We start from the raw sequence: 16,171 nt of genomic DNA, 5'->3' as shown, positions 1-16,171 counted from the left end.
AATCAATATTCTCCCCTTTTCGTTCTGTAATTATTCTCAGTCCTGGCAAGAAAACCAAGTTAATTGCTATCTCAATGAAGCCACTTATCTTTGACTTTGTTATGGTATGATTCCATGAATCCCTTTCCCTTGTTAAATAAATTAGCACAAATCTAATAAGTTTATTAAAGTAAGCCCATAGTATAAAAAAAGTACTTAAAAAATGCCTTTCGATTGGGTTTTGTTCTGCACTTTGCTTTTAAAAATTAAAATACTGAAGCTATAAAAATCTGATTTTATAACATATACAGAAGAGTATATTTTTTCTCATTATTTTCATGGTTTATGAGTTCGATTCATCTGTTTGATCTAATGTAAGTCATGTATGGGACTTTCAGTGCTTATATTTTGTTGGAGACAGAATTTTGGAGTCATTCTCTCAGTTCAGACAGGTAGCCTAAAATATATGTGGGCCGCAGAGGTGTTACCAAGAATTAAACAAAGATTTTTTTAGTCTCCTAGTACTTCACATTAAACAATTTTTTTGTGCTTTCCTGACATACATTAATCCACCCCACCAGTGGGAATTTGAAATGTTTCCAGTAATGATCACAACATCCTTTATATCATACTAAAAAAAACAATAATATAAATGTCTATTGTCAATAGAATTATAGAAATTGAGGTAGAAAATGTTATTATTCCTTATGAGTTAGTACTTGACATTCTTGCAGAATTGAATGAAGACATTGCTCTCAAGTAAATATATGAGTATTTCTGATTTCTTTTCTTGGCAGTATTTACGTCAACCCCTGTGCATAAGCTTCTCATGAATGTGGCAACACATTTATCCAAACTCTTCTAGAATCTCTTTCTTATTCTCTGCTATAAACTGGGCAGACTTTGGCTACTAGGCAGCGGGGTTTTCTTTGAGCAACAGGTTATCAGATATTGATGAATTGCTCTGGCAGGTTTGGGAGGCTTGATAAAAGTGACTCTCTGATTACAAAGCTGGCACCTGACATCTGTCACTTTGAGGAGGAACTAATGGCATCCAAGAAAGCACATCTAGCCGCTCTCGGTGGGCCCCCTTCCATCAGCAAATTTGGTCTTGTTTATTACAACAAAGTTGGCAGTGAATCTGGATAATTTATGGATGACTTATATGCTCTCACTGGTCTTTCTCTTTATGAATAGCAGCTGTTTTCCTCGTGGCATAAAATCCTGAAGTTTAACACTGAAGTTTCATGCTAGAATGTTAAATAGTGAATGCTTTTGGAAGCACCTAACTCACCCTGTTTCAGGAAAAAGCAAAATGATGAGTCTCTAACTTTTGCAAATTCCTGGGACTGGAATCTGATCTTGAGTATCAAAAATTTCAAAATTACAGTGATTAAACACCTTTAGTCCTGGTGTTCAAGCCTGCCAAATTATCTTTTAACAAGCCTATGAATGAAGAACATTCTCAATATATAAGTGATTTCTAGAAAGCTATCAATTGTCAGGGAAGAAAAACACGTTTATACACATGACATCAGCTTTATTTTGTGGCCTTGATATGGTCTAGATATTTTATAAACCACCTTGGGAAATATATTGACATTGTCTCCTACTTACATACATTACCACTGGGACGAAATATGTTTGTATAGGCTACATAAAACTGTGGTAAATATCAGCTTGGGAAGTAGTAATATAGGTTCCATAACTCCCCACTTAATTATATTCAAATAGGCATAAAAATCTGAAAATACAAATAGTAGGAAAGGGAAATAAAAAGGACTAACATATCATATTGGAACAGGTGAATATCTCTGAAATAGTCGCCAAACATGACACAGTAATTTTTTCAAATGGGGTAGGGTACACGCAAAGAATTGCTGGAATAAGATATCTGAGGTCTTTTTCACACCAAACTGTAGTTTTGTTTTCAATGATAGCATGTGTAGCAATTGGGGAAACTTTCCATAGTGACCTTTGCTTCATGCTACTTTGACCCATATTTTCCATTCCCACGGAAGCATAGGTTGAGTCTTTACTACAAATGGTGACAGGGCCTTGGAGGAGAAAAACATTAGGGAGAGAAGAAGGTGAGAAAGAGGGCAAAGTTAAGAGGGAAAGTCACAGGGTCTTTCTCAGTGGTGATTAGTTTAAAGCCCACAGCTTAGGCTGTTGGCAGCCAGGTAGCTGTTTCCCTGGTAACAACTGGAGCAGCAGAGTTATCGAAATGTGATGTTACCAAAGCAGAAAGTAAAATTCACTATTTTGCTCGTAGAGCAAAAGATCCGATGCATTTGCTATAATTTTTTTTTCCTGGAAAACTTAGGTTTAAGGGGGTGGGGCATTGACTATCCTTGATTTTGAAAAAAGAAAAAATTGGGTTATAAAGCTGTTAGTGGAGATTTATTTATTTATTTATTTATTTATTTTGAGACAGAATTTCACTCTTGTCTCTCAGGCTGGACCTGCAGTGCAGTGGCATGATCTCGGCTCACTGCAACCTCCACCTCCTGGGTTCAGGCTATTCTCCTGTCTCAGCCTCCTGAGTAGCTGAGATTACAGGCACCACCACCATGCCCGGCTAATTTTTGTATTTTTAGTAGAGATGGGGTTTTGCCATGTTGGCCTGGCTGGTGTGGAACTCCTGACCTCAGGTGATCCGCTTGCCTCAGACTCCCAAACAGCTGGGATTACAGGTGTGAGTCACTGTGCCCGGCCAGTTAGTGGAGATTTCCTCTGTTCTTTTTTTTTTCCTAAAAAAAAAAAAAAAAAAAAGGGGGGGGATACTAGGTTGATAGGCTTAACATTAATCATGAATTGTTTTTTTTTTTTTTTCATTTTTTTTTTTTCTTTTTGAGACAGAGTCTTGCTCTGTCGCCCAGGCTGGAGTGCAGTGGTGTGATCTCGGCTCACTGCAAGCTCCGCCTCCCAGGTTCACGCCATTCTCCTGCCTCAGCCTCCTGAGTAGCTGGGGCTACGGGGGCCCGCCACCACTCCTGGCTAATTTTTCTGTATTTTAAGTAGAAACGGGGTTTCATTGTGTTAGCCAGGATGGTCTCTGTCTCCTGACCTCGTGATCTGCCCGTCTTGGCCTCCCAAAGTGCTGGGATTACAGGCGTGAGCCACCGTGATCGGCCCTCATTAATCATGAATTGTTAAAATTAGAAACCAGGATATCCAGGTTTCCCCAAAGTACATGTCACAAAATTCAACCAAACCAAGGTCCAGGGGACTTTAAATCTTTTTATTTTTATTTGTATTATTTTATTATACTTTAAGTTATGGGATACATGTGCACAGCGTGTAGGTTTGTCACATAGGTATACACGTGCCATGGTGGTTCGCTGCACTCATCAACCTGTCATCTACATTAGGTATTTCTCCTAATGCTATACCTCCCCTTCCCTCCATCCCCCGACAGGCCCTGGTGTGTGATGTTCCCAGGGGACTTTAAATCTTTCAGAATCCTTTTGAGTTAATGCACAAATTGATTGTGCTTGTTTATTTTTCTACCTTGTGGAACGCCTTGGCCTCTGGGGATATCACTGAGGTATCAAAGAATATCAATTGAGAGAGAGGTATAGAGGATCTCAGATACATGAGTTTATTATGAATGTATAAATGGCTTTTTGGAAAACAAGGATGACAAATATTGACCTAGACTGCCAGTAAGTGTTAAGGATGGGAAGGCTATAGCTAAAGGCAGGAGGTCTCCCTTAAGTTATGTGTTTTAAATTCTTAGGAATCAGGTATACTGTTTCTCTCAGGAACATCAATACTGATTGTGTTGTTCATTAGTGTTTAGTAAAAAAAAAAATTATGGATTTTTATGAGCTCAGTCTCTACACTGAACTAATAGTTAAGCCATGGTTTTTTACCAGTTTGAAATGCTCATGCCTGCATAAATGTCAAAATCATGTAAAATTCTACAGGGGATACCATAAATTTGATAATCTATTCTAAATTAGTTTAATCTAGAGATGTCAGCTGGGTAACAATTATAAAGTGGAACTGTAATTAAACCCTCACCATCCAAATTGTTTATTATATTGTGCCATTCTGTGAACAAATAATCTAAGTTGTTCTGGTGTATATAGGCATATTTCACATAGCAAGCATGGATAAATTCTTGATTTATGTAAATTATTAAAATGCCTAGTTCCATATACAGAGAGACTATCATGACATTTTGACATAATACAGGGAATAATTTTTATTTGGAAGAATATCAGCATAACAAGCGCCTCACATTTTTTCTTCTTACAGTACATGAAGATGATGGGTGTGAACTCCTGCAGCCATTTCTTTGCCTGGCTTATAGAGAGTGTTGGATTTTTACTGGTTACCATCGTGATCCTCATCATTATACTCAAGTTTGGCAATATTCTTCCTAAAACAAATGGGTTCATTTTGTTCCTGTATTTTTCGGACTACAGCTTCTCGGTTATTGCCATGAGCTATCTTATCAGTGTCTTCTTCAACAACACCAACATTGCAGCTCTGATCGGAAGCCTCATCTACATCATTGCCTTCTTTCCATTTATTGTTCTGGTTACAGTGGAGAATGAGTTGAGCTATGTATTGAAAGTGTTCATGGTAAGTCAACCGTTGGAATGGCAGAGTGGGAAATTACCCATTTTTGTTTGTTTGTTTGTTTGTTTTTGGATTCTCAGACTGAAAGTTCACTTATCTTAATTTGAAATTCAGTGAAAGCAAAGTAAGCTTAATGTCCTAATGATAGCTTTTCTTACATCACTGTATACCATACAAGACAATGAAGAGCTTACAAAACCATGATATGTGATACTGTTAAGAAATAGTTCCTAAAGAAAGAACAGTTAAAATGTCATACATCATGTTTTAGAGGTCTTCAAGAATTCTGACTTCTCTCTGGACCAATTCCTGAAACGTCTTGGAGCCTCTAGTATTGGAATTATTCTCATATGTGAACAATTTTCATGGTTCTCATGACATATAATATAGCTTAAAGGTGTAAAGACAAATGCACCAACAGCATATAAGCAACCTTAAATTCTCTCCTGCCTTGTCAATTCAGAAGCACTAAATTAAGAATTTTAATTAAAGCATTAAGATTACTGACTGAAATTTAGAAAGCAGAAGCTAATTTCATCATATTAAAACTTTGCTATTTATGGAAATAAAAAGTAATGAATAACTTTATCTAGCATTGACAACTTTGGGTTTAAACAATATTTAAATTTCTAATTTGTTGCAATTATCAATATTCAATCAACTGATATTTTAGTATATTTTTATTCATAGTACTTCTATTACCTGAAATAAATGTATGGAGTGAAAATGCCTTCTGGCCCTTAACATTTTTGGTAAATTTTAGTCTTAATACTGAATTACTCCATAATTAACTATTTTATTACTTGCTGAGCAACATTTAATGAGTTCAAATGTATATTTTGATTTTTTAAGGAATGGTTTTCAAGTTGTAATTTTCCTGTTTTTGTTTTCTGCTATTCTCTCTGCTCTTGCTTCACAGTTGTAGCATGGTTGGTAAGGGACTGCTGTATTTTTAAATATGCTTAGAGAATGAGCATCAATTTTATCTATACAAATGTCCAAAGTTTTAAGTATTTTAGGATACCTCTGGGTGAAATACATGAAATCTACAAGAACTATCATTGCCGTTTCCTTTCTTCACAGAGCCTGCTGTCCCCAACAGCATTCAGCTATGCAAGCCAATACATTGCACGATACGAAGAACAGGGCATTGGTAGGTCCCCTTTCTTTAAAACTGGATTTTATCTTTCACAACTGTGCTGTGTGTCACAGAAGAATAAACACTTGTGTTCACTTTTTAGGTCTTCAGTGGGAAAATATGTACACCTCCCCGGTTCAGGATGACACCACCTCATTTGGCTGGCTGTGCTGTCTAATCCTAGCTGACTCTTTCATTTATTTCCTTATTGCTTGGTATGTCAGGAATGTCTTCCCAGGTATGAATGTGCTTCCTACAGATACATGCTTTTTATGGTTGACTTCAATATAAATCAACTAATAATATGTTCTAATATTTTATTTGCAAAAAATTTTTAAATTAAAAAATAAAAATATTATATATATATATATATATATATGTATGTATTGAGATGGAGTCTCCCTCTGTTGCCCAGGCTGGAGTGCAGTGGCGTGATCTCGGCTCACTGCAACCTCCACCTCCCAGGTTCAAGCGATTCTCCTGCCTCAGCCTCCCAAGTAGCTGGGATTATAGGCACGTGCCACCACGCCCGGCTAATTTTTGTATTTTTAATAGAGCCGGGGTTTCACCATGTTAGCCAGGCTGCTCTCGAGCTTCTGATCTCAAGTCATCTGCCCGCCTTGGCCTCCCAAAGTGCTGGGATTACGGGCAAGAGCCACCATGCCCGGCCTTTAACTTTTTTTTAATTAAAAAAAAATCTTATTTGCCATATATAATCTCCAAAAAGAAGTATTCAAATCCCAAAGCTAACAAAAAATTTTCAGGATGAGATAATATACTGCTAAATTTCCTCTCGGATATTCCTTTAAAAGATGGAGTGAATTAAGAAGCTTAGAATAGTGTCAAATCAATCCAGTCTCTCTAAATAGGAGTGTGAGAGATAATAAGGGAAAAACCAAATCTCCTAATTCTAAGGAGAATTTACCAGATTCTAACGGAAGAAGACAAGTTGGGTTCCCCCTTCTAGGTCTCAAGCAGTCATCCTTTCTAACATGCTTAGTTTTCCATTTAGCCCTACTTATATGTATGCATTTTTTGGTGTTATACATGAATAAAAGAATATGATTTCATTTATGTAAGATCTGTGAAAGACAGATAGAGACAGAAGGCAGATCAATGATTGCCTGGGATGTGAGGTGGGAGCAGGGATTATCTGCAAATGGGCATGAGACAAATTTTTTGAGTTATAGAAATGTTCTAATACTGAATTGCACAACTTTATACATTAGCTAAGACTTATCTACCTGTACACTTACAATAATAAGACAAGTAGGCCAACAGCATGCATTGTTATGAGAGAAATGATATGAAATTATATGACTAACAGTTTTAATTATGTTTTTCTAAGTGGCAAAATTATCCTTTTGGTCATAGATGAATATGTCTACACATGTCTGTTTGGACCCTTGTGGGGATTAAATTGTGGCTTTTTCTGGGCTGGAAACCCAGAATCTGGATCTGAACTAGTCTTATCACTGTAAAATCACAACTTGTAGACATGTATTTCATAGATAAATAGTGGCTTTTTCCATTACAATAAGTGTACAGTTAGATAAGTTTTAGTAAATGTAAATAAAGCTGCTTAAAAACTAACAAGGAAAAAAAGCATCGTTTTTTGCTTTACTATGGAAACTGAGACCACCTTTTAGTTTTATATAGTGTCAAAAAATAAAACTACTTCCTAAACCATACATAGGATCTACTGTTTTGTTTCTGATGATAAATGTTAACAGTCAACTAAAACTCACTGTTCCTGATATATTTTTATTCCAGGGACATACGGTATGGCAGCTCCCTGGTATTTTCCAATTCTTCCTTCCTATTGGAAGGAGCGATTTGGGTGTGCAGAGGTGAAGCCTGAGAAGAGCAATGGCCTCATGTTTACTAACATCATGATGCAGAACACCAACCCATCTGCCAGTAAGACAAGTCGGTCAACAGCGTGCTTTGTTATGAGAGAAATGATATGAAATTACATGACTAGTAGTTTCAATTATTTTTTTCTAAATGGCAAAATTATCATCCTTTTAGTCATGGATGAAAATGTCTACACATGCGTCTTTGGACTCTTATGGGGATTAAATTGTGGCTTTTTCTGGGCTCATTAGCTCAGTTGGTTAGCATATGGTGCTAATTAGGCCAAGATTGCAGATCCCTTTGTGGTCCAGTTAGACTCACACAGAGAAAAATTTTGTTCCTTGGCCACAATCTACACCCCTAACTCCAGCCATCTGTCACCAGTCATAAGGGGTAACCAAGTAACAAGTTTGAGTAATTTAGCATAACCCATCACAAATACTGGAAAAGTAGTTCAAAGCTTGTGTCTTCCTGATACTAGGTGAGTCGTGTCATTATAAAGTGAGTACGGGCCACTAAGCGGTCCTTTTGTGATGCCTGAAGGAGGTGTAGATAGTTATTAATGAACTGGATTCTATAAACCACAATCTCAACTAGTCTTATCACTCTAAAATCACAACTTTGGAGGCATTTATTTTATAATTTGGTATCATCCTGCCCAACCAGAGGACCAAGCCTTAGACATATCTTTTGACTATTTGATATCTGTTGAATAAAGGAGAATTTATAATTATAATACCATATTCTGGGACTGCTTTTTCCAACAAAGAAGGGTGAAATGAACCCTGGTTCTCCACTCTTATTCATTCTGCAACCAAGTGAGGAGGCTGAAGACTATAATAAATCATTTGTTTCTGGATTTTTTATTTTACTTAGAGGGTTATATTTTTATAGTCTTAAATTTTTAATAAAGATAAAGTCTAACTCTAGCTGCATTACCTTACTTGTGAGTTTACAACTCTTCCCTTGATTTCTCTCCAGGTCCTGAATACATGTTTTCCTCTAACATCGAGCCTGAACCTAAAGATCTCACAGTCGGGGTTGCCCTGCATGGGGTCACAAAGATCTATGGCTCAAAAGTTGCTGTTGATAACCTCAATCTGAACTTTTATGAAGGGCATATTACTTCATTGCTGGGGCCCAATGGAGCTGGGAAAACTACTACCATGTATGTTAACTTTTTGACATTTATTGCCATGGAAGCATGTTACAAAAAATACAGGTGTAAAAAAAATAAACTAACCTATGTTTATAAAACATAAAGTTATTACATTTCCCAGATGGAGGAAGATGGTTCAACTTGTATGCTATAGAATGGAGTCAAAATCAAAGGTTGTAATACTTTAAAAAATTTTTAATTCAGTGCCAATTTTGTAAAATAGGGAGTTTCTAATAAAAATAAATATTCTTGGCACCTCTTAGATAATAGGAAATTCTACAACATTGAGTTCATATTCTTAGGTAGAGACTATTGATTGGGGCTCATTAGTAACTGATCTCTTAAAGGGAGTATCTGTTTTCTGGCTCATCCCTGGTCTCTACCAAGCTGCACTGCTTCATACACCCACCCTGTTTCATTTATTTGCATTTCTAACCTGGCATATATATAAGTATGAAATTTTGCATCCTGATATAAACACACTTAGCCTCAGCTGCTCCTTCATGGGAAACCTTTGCCTTGACTCATAAAGAAACAAAGGAACCACCAGCTATCAGACAGCAATCAAAAAGGCCAGGAGCAGAACATAAGCTGTTCTTTCTCACTCCTCACCTATGTAGCATTTTCCTGTGTCAGAATGGAGAAGAGATTCAACTGTTTTTAAAGTGACATTCTTTTGAGTTATTTTTATGTGATTTGCCTCCAATGCTCCATATTCACTTAGTTGCTGAGTCAGCTCTAAGATGCTGCTGGTGCTCGAGCCCTTGTTTGAGAAAAAGGATCAGTTGCTGCATATCTTACTTAGTATCATCACGAATCAGCTCAGTGACTGCAAAAACACTGGAATTAATTTTTTTTTGTAAATAAAAGGGGACAAACGAGGTCATGAAATGAGTGAGCATACAGCCTCTGCTATTTGCATGGCCTGTTTAAAGTCAGAGTTGGCTTTCCAGGGAGAATACAATGCCAAAAAGGCCAGATTTTTTTTTAACTTTTATTTTAAGTTCAGGGGCACAAGTGCAGGTTTGTTACACAGGTAAATTCATCATGAGGGTTTGTTTTACAGATTATTTCATCACTCAGGTATTAAGCCTAGTGCCCATTACTTATTTTTCCTGATCCTCTCCTTCCTCCCACCCTCCACCCTCCGAAAGCCCCACTGTGTGGTGTTACCTTCTCTGTGTCCGTGTATTCTCATCATTTAGTTCCCACTTATAAGTGAGAACATATTTGTATTTGGTTTTCTGTTCCTGTGTTAATTTGCTAAAGATAATGGCCTCCAGCTCCATTCATGTTTCTAATAGGCAATAAGAGGCTAATGAAGAAAAGGAACAGAGAAGGCTCTTGAAGAGGCTATAATTTTAGCTGAGAATGCCCCCATTTTATTGTTCTAAATAGAAACCTTTAATATAAAGTATGTTATTTGTATTTCAGTGTTCATATGGGAAAACTGCATATTCCTTTGTTCATAATTTAATCCAGAAGTCTGCACTGCAAGGCACTGAGTAGGTTACTGAGACAAAGTGCTTAGAAAACAGGACCTTTCCTTGACCTCATGGAGCTTACATTATAGTGGAGGAGATGGGTATTAAATAATTGCCCAGTTTACTAACTATCTGAAAGATGATGAGGAATTATCCAGGTGAGAATATTCTAATCACAGTATAGAGAAAAGGACTAGAGATGACCAAAGAGCATGCGGGAAGTAGAGTTAGGAGCTTAGAGTGATGGGTTAGGCAGGTGGTGATGGTGATGGTCCCATGAGGATAGCTGTGAAAACGGTGAGATGGGCATGTAGTTAGGAGATTAAGATAGGAGGAGAGTGCAAAAATGACTTACAGATTCCAGTCTCGTGCAACCAGTGTATGAATTTATCACATGGGGAAAGAGGCAAAATCAATGAGGGTGTGGCTTTTAGGGTAAAGATCATGAGCTCGGTTTTAAACATACTGAGTTGAAGGACCCTGTAAGAAATCTCACAGAGAAGTGGTATTGTCTGATAGATATATAGAGCAATCCTGGAGCTGAATAATGAAGTCTGGGCTACAGATGTAAATTTGAGACATGCCAACCTGTAGATGCTAAGGGATGTCAGGAAAGTGCATGGGTATGCTCAAGGAGGGAGAACGTACTTGGAATTTAAAAGCCCAATCATGGCTGGGCGCAGTGGCTCATGCCTGTAATCCCAGCACTTTGGGAGGCCAAGGCGTGTGGATCACGAGGTCAGGAGATCGAGACCATCCTGGCTAATACAGTGAAACCCCCGTCTCTACTAAAAATACAAAAATTAGCCGGGCGTGGTGGCACATGCCTGTAGTCCCAGCTACTCGGGAGGCTGAGGCAGGAGAATGGTGTGAACCCAGGAGGCAGAGGTTGCAGTGAGCTGAGATCGTGCCACTGCACTCCAGCCTGGGCGACAGAGTGAGACTACGTCTCAAAAAAAAAAAAAAAAAAAAGGCCTGATCGTTTTTGTCATCATCATTTAGCATTTATGTAATACTCTGAATTATTAAAAACTTAAAAGTAATATTTCTTATTCCCATTAAATACCATTTTATTTCATAGTTTGCCCTTGACTGAGAAGATACACTGTATTTTTTCCTTCTAACAACTGAGATATAGTTATTCCTAATATCTAGCTTCAATGCTTGGCTTATACCTAATTTATCATTTCTTCATTTCCAGTTCCATGTTAACTGGGCTGTTTGGGGCCTCAGCAGGCACCATTTTTGTATATGGAAAAGATATCAAAACAGACCTACACACGGTACGGAAGAACATGGGAGTCTGTATGCAGCACGACGTCTTGTTCAGTTACCTCACTACTAAGGAGCACCTTCTCCTATATGGTTCCATCAAAGTTCCTCACTGGACTAAAAAGCAGCTCCACGAGGAAGTAAAAAGGCAAGTTAAGACAGGAATGAGAACCTAAGTTGCTAACTCCTCTCAAAGACCCATAGCTTGGTTGGTAAAGTTCTGGTAATGATACCAATAGGAAATATTTTCTCACGAAATAATTACTTTTTAGTTTTTCTACTTATTTAATATTGCAAACATTTAAGGTCATTATCCTTACCGGCCAGTTATTACACTGAAATTGTTTAACTCTCTTCATCTGTGGCTCCCATATTGCCCCGAATCCTTTGCTTCTGATCTCCATGGCTACTACCCTGGTCCAAGCCTCCTAAGTGGATTCTTGGATTTCACTCATCTCTTGTGAAATCTGTTCTTCAAAGAGCAACCAGGGTGATCTTTTTCAACTGCAAATCAGACTATGTCACTCCTGGATTTAAATCGTCCAGTGGCTTCCTTCCATGCTCAGTATAATACTCAATAACATCCTTATCAAGACTTAGGAGGTCCTAAGTGATTTGCCTCCATTCTCACTTCTGATTTCATGTCCTTCCACTCACCTCCACATTCACTCTGCTCAAGGCACACTGGCCTAGCTACACACGTGACTGTCCTAGGCCTGCTCCAGCCTCAGGGCTTTTTACTTTCTCTTCTCTCTACTTACAGCACCTACCCCCCCAGATGGCCATTTGTCTTAATCTTGGTCAAATGACCGCTTTCCTGGTCTGTGCCAAAATGTCACCTTTTCTGAGATGACTACCATATATAAAATTGATGCCTATAATAGCATGTCCCAGCCACTCCTTATCTTATATTCACTGCTTTATTTTTTTTAATTGCACTTATCACCACCAAAACTTACTTGAGAATATATTTATTGACTGGATTTCCCTATATCCCTCCCAATACACACACTTACTAGAACATAATCTCCTTATGAATAGAAATTTTATGTGTTCACTGCTTTTCCCAAGTACATAAAACACAGCCTGGCACAAAATAGGTAGGAACTCTCTAGATATTTGTCAAAGGAATGAATTATATATTCCTTTGTGTTTTTTTCTGAGTATTAATTTTGTACTTTGTAAAGTACATTAATTTTGTACTTTGTAAAAAGTTAATTTTTTGAGTATTAATTTTGTATCCAGGTGATAAATAATAGAAAACTATATTATGAATCCTCAAGAGTTTATTGTACCTTACTGAGCACATAATAGTTACCTAGTGAATACATATCAATTAGGGTTATTGTATGTTTCCAGTACTCAAATAGTATATCTGTAAAAAAATAACCATCATACATTATTTTTGAAGGACTTTAAAAGATACTGGACTATATAGCCATCGTCATAAGAGAGTTGGAACACTGTCAGGAGGCATGAAGAGGAAGTTATCTATATCCATAGCTCTCATTGGTGGATCAAGGGTAGTAATTTTGGATGAACCATCTACTGGAGTTGACCCATGTTCTCGCCGAAGTATATGGGATGTTATATCCAAGAACAAAACTGGTATGAGTAGTTTCTCAGAACTTCTCCACCCAACAGTCATACTTCTGCCCTCTGGCATATACAAAAGCAAACTGAGGCTGGGTGCAGTGGCTCACGCCTATAATCCCAGCACTTTGGGAGGCCAAGACAGGAGGATTGCTTGAGCCTGGGAGTTTGAGACCAGCCTGGGTAACATAGTGAGACGCTGTCAATAATAATAAAATAATAATAATAATAATAATAATAATAATAATAATAATAATAAAAACAGCTGACTGTGGTGGCTGGCATGTGTAGTCCTAGCTAGTCAGGAGGCTGAGGCTGGAGAATCACTTGAACCCAAGAGGTCAAGGGTGCAGGGGTGCAGTAAGTTATGATCAAGTCACTGCACTCCAGCCTGGATGACAGAGTGAGATACTGTCTCAAAAAAAAAAAAAAAAAAAAAACCAGCTTGACGACTTTTCTGTTTATGATATCTTTTTAAAAATTTTAAAATTTATTTGTATAGATACATCATGCTTGTACATATTTATCGAATATGATATCTTTTAAAAGTCTAAGATTGGCTCTTTCTTTTCTGAAGATTTTGAAGATTTTTCTCCCAGACAACTTTCTGGGTCAATTGGTTAATATCTATGTACTGCCCGCTGTGAGTTGAGCACTTAACTGGCCTTTTTGAGAGCATGCAAATCCAACAGAAGTTTCAAAGTTTAATGCTTAGAGGAGCTAAGAATCTAATTAGAGATATCAAACATACACAAATGAAAATAAACTGAAAACAGACTAAGTAAGTGCTGACAGGATGTGAAGCAACGGAGTAATCAGAGTGGAGTGGAATAATCAGAGAGGAATATTCAAAAAGTCTTAAATTATTGCTTTTTCATAATGAAGAAAGGGGAAGAGAGAGAGAAAAACAATGCAAAATGAACCCATGGGAGCAAAATTCTAATAGACTGTGAAGAATTGCCAATGCCCACATGACAAATGGTGAACATTTAGTCACTCAGCATAATAAAGGATTATTTGCTGTTAATTTATATGAAAAAAAATGCGTCCAAATATTTAAGAACACCCTTCTGAGTTTTTCTTCTTTTTTTCCTTTCTTTTTTTTTTTTTTCCCTTTGAGATGGACTCTCGTCTGTCACCCAGGCTGGAGTGCAGTGGCATAAATCTTGGCTCACTACACCCTCCACCTCCCGGGTTCAAGAGAGTCTCCTGCCTCAGCCTCCCAAGTAGCTGGGATTATAGGCATCCGCCACCACACCCAGCTAATTGTAGATGGGGTTTCACCATGTTGGCCAGGCTGGTTTCGAACTCCTGACCTCAAGTGATCTGCCCGCCTCAACCTCCTAAAGTGCTGGGATTACAGGCGTGAACCAGTGAGCCTGGCCCTGAATTTTTCTTGCATCATTTTGGAAGCTCTTTGAGGTCAGTCAGTTTTTCAGTTAGCTCATGAAATGTGACTCTTCTCAGATGTCACAGGATTTACTCTGGCCAACTCTGTGTGTCTTGGGAACTGTACTTTCACGTTTCATTCCCTGTTGTTCTTGTCTGTATTTTCAAGCCAGAACAATCATTCTGTCAACGCACCACTTGGACGAGGCTGAAGTGCTGAGTGACCGCATCGCCTTCCTGGAGCAGGGTGGGCTTAGGTGCTGTGGGTCCCCATTTTACCTCAAGGAAGCCTTTGGCGATGGGTATCACCTCACGCTTACCAAGAAGAAGGTAGGAATGGGAGAAAATATATCTCATTATGGCACCATAAATTAAGTTTTATATGAAATAGGAGCAGAGTCTCTCCAACTTTATTCATTGCTAAAATTCATTAGTATACTAGCTTACTGCTTCTCATATTTGAGTGAGCATCGAAATCCTGGAGGTCTTGACTAAAACCCAGAGTTCTGGCCCCACCCCAAGAGTGTCTGATCCTGTAGGTCTGGGATGGGAGTGCAGAATGTATTATATTTTTATCAAATTCCCAGGTGACGCTGATGTTGCTGGTCTGAGGACTGCACATTCAGAACCAATGTGCTAGGTAAAAAATGATTGACATCTTAAGGTTACTGATGGAGAATCAGCCTTTTAGTTCTCCTAACATTTCAACCTAGAAAGCCAAAAATTCAATTTTCTGCTTTATCAAAAGCAAATAAAACGAATATGAAGTCATGGGTTCACATTCTGATTAGTACTCCTCAAGTGGCAGTGCAGGGACTGTAATTTGCACAGGTCAACGGTGCCTTTACATCTTTTGGAGAACAAAAATGCTCGCTAAAGATCCCTGCACCACCTAACAGAACATATGATTTAAAAATACTGTGCAAGATGTATATGCTATTAGGAAGTTTTCAACTACCTCCATTTATTTTATATCTAATCCTCCTGTGACTTACAAAATATAAGAAAATGTTATGCTATTAATAGTTATACTCTTAATTATTATACTCATTCAGACATTTATGTATTAGGTGCATTATGCCTTATGATATCCAAGCACTGTCCCAGGCAGTGGTGACACAGCAGTGAACTGATAATATGAAAATCTCTGGCCTCTTAGAGTTTATATTCTGATGGAGTGTGAGGAATTCAGATGATACGATCAATAAGTAAATTATTTCATATATTGGCAATTAGTACATCACTTATTTCTATTAGTAAATTTTTTAATATTTATTAATAAATAATATTTTAGTAAATATTTATTTCTATGCTATGGATAGAAATAAAGCAGGGAATGCCAAGTGGGGCAATATTTAAGTAGGGTAATAAGAAAAGAGGTTCTTTGATAAAGTGACAGTTGAGCTGAGAGTTGGAGGTGGTGAGAGAATGGGACACATCGCTATCTGGAGGTATAGGACCACCAGTTGCAAGGACCCTGAGGAGGGGATGTGCCTGAACCCAAAGCCCTCTAGCAACAGAAAAGAGACTGTTGTTGCTAGAGTAGAGCAAATGAGAGGGAGGGGGTTAGAGAAGGGACAGCGTGACATGGGAGAATGGGGCCAGTAGAATAGGGACCCAAGTGGCAAAGGGGTCTCTAGAGCAGTGATGTTATGATCTGACTCAGGTGTGGAGTGGCCTAAAAGAGCTCATCACCTCACCCTCTGA

At 38.0% G+C, this 16,171-nt stretch overlaps 1 protein-coding gene across 4 annotated transcripts in view; it reads left to right on the top strand.

Moving 5' to 3' along the window:
* The window catches only part of ABCA12 (ATP binding cassette subfamily A member 12), a 207,085-nt gene that overhangs the window by 143,350 nt on the left and 47,564 nt on the right, over window positions 1-16,171 (top strand). For 3 of the 4 annotated variants that reach the window (NR_103740.2, NM_173076.3, NM_015657.4), the window contains 8 exons: window positions 4,246-4,575; window positions 5,656-5,725; window positions 5,814-5,948; window positions 7,484-7,630; window positions 8,549-8,735; window positions 11,412-11,630; window positions 12,894-13,090; window positions 14,634-14,794. Coding sequence is in view for 3 of the 4 variants with exons in the window: in NM_173076.3 (NP_775099.2) it covers window positions 4,246-4,575; window positions 5,656-5,725; window positions 5,814-5,948; window positions 7,484-7,630; window positions 8,549-8,735; window positions 11,412-11,630; window positions 12,894-13,090; window positions 14,634-14,794 (1,446 nt within the window). In the remaining variant the exon portion in view is untranslated. Of the gene's footprint in view, window positions 1-4,245; window positions 4,576-5,655; window positions 5,726-5,813; window positions 5,949-7,483; window positions 7,640-8,548; window positions 8,736-11,411; window positions 11,631-12,893; window positions 13,091-14,633; window positions 14,795-16,171 lie in introns of all 4 variants that reach the window. The other variant, XM_011510951.3, reaches the window with a different exon arrangement.

This window comes from Homo sapiens, chromosome 2, assembly GCF_000001405.40.
Source record: "Homo sapiens chromosome 2, GRCh38.p14 Primary Assembly".
NCBI classification, from domain to species: domain Eukaryota; kingdom Metazoa; phylum Chordata; class Mammalia; order Primates; family Hominidae; genus Homo; species Homo sapiens.
The sequence above is the reverse complement of the archived record's forward strand: the minus strand, read 5'-3'. Positions and strand labels throughout refer to the sequence as shown.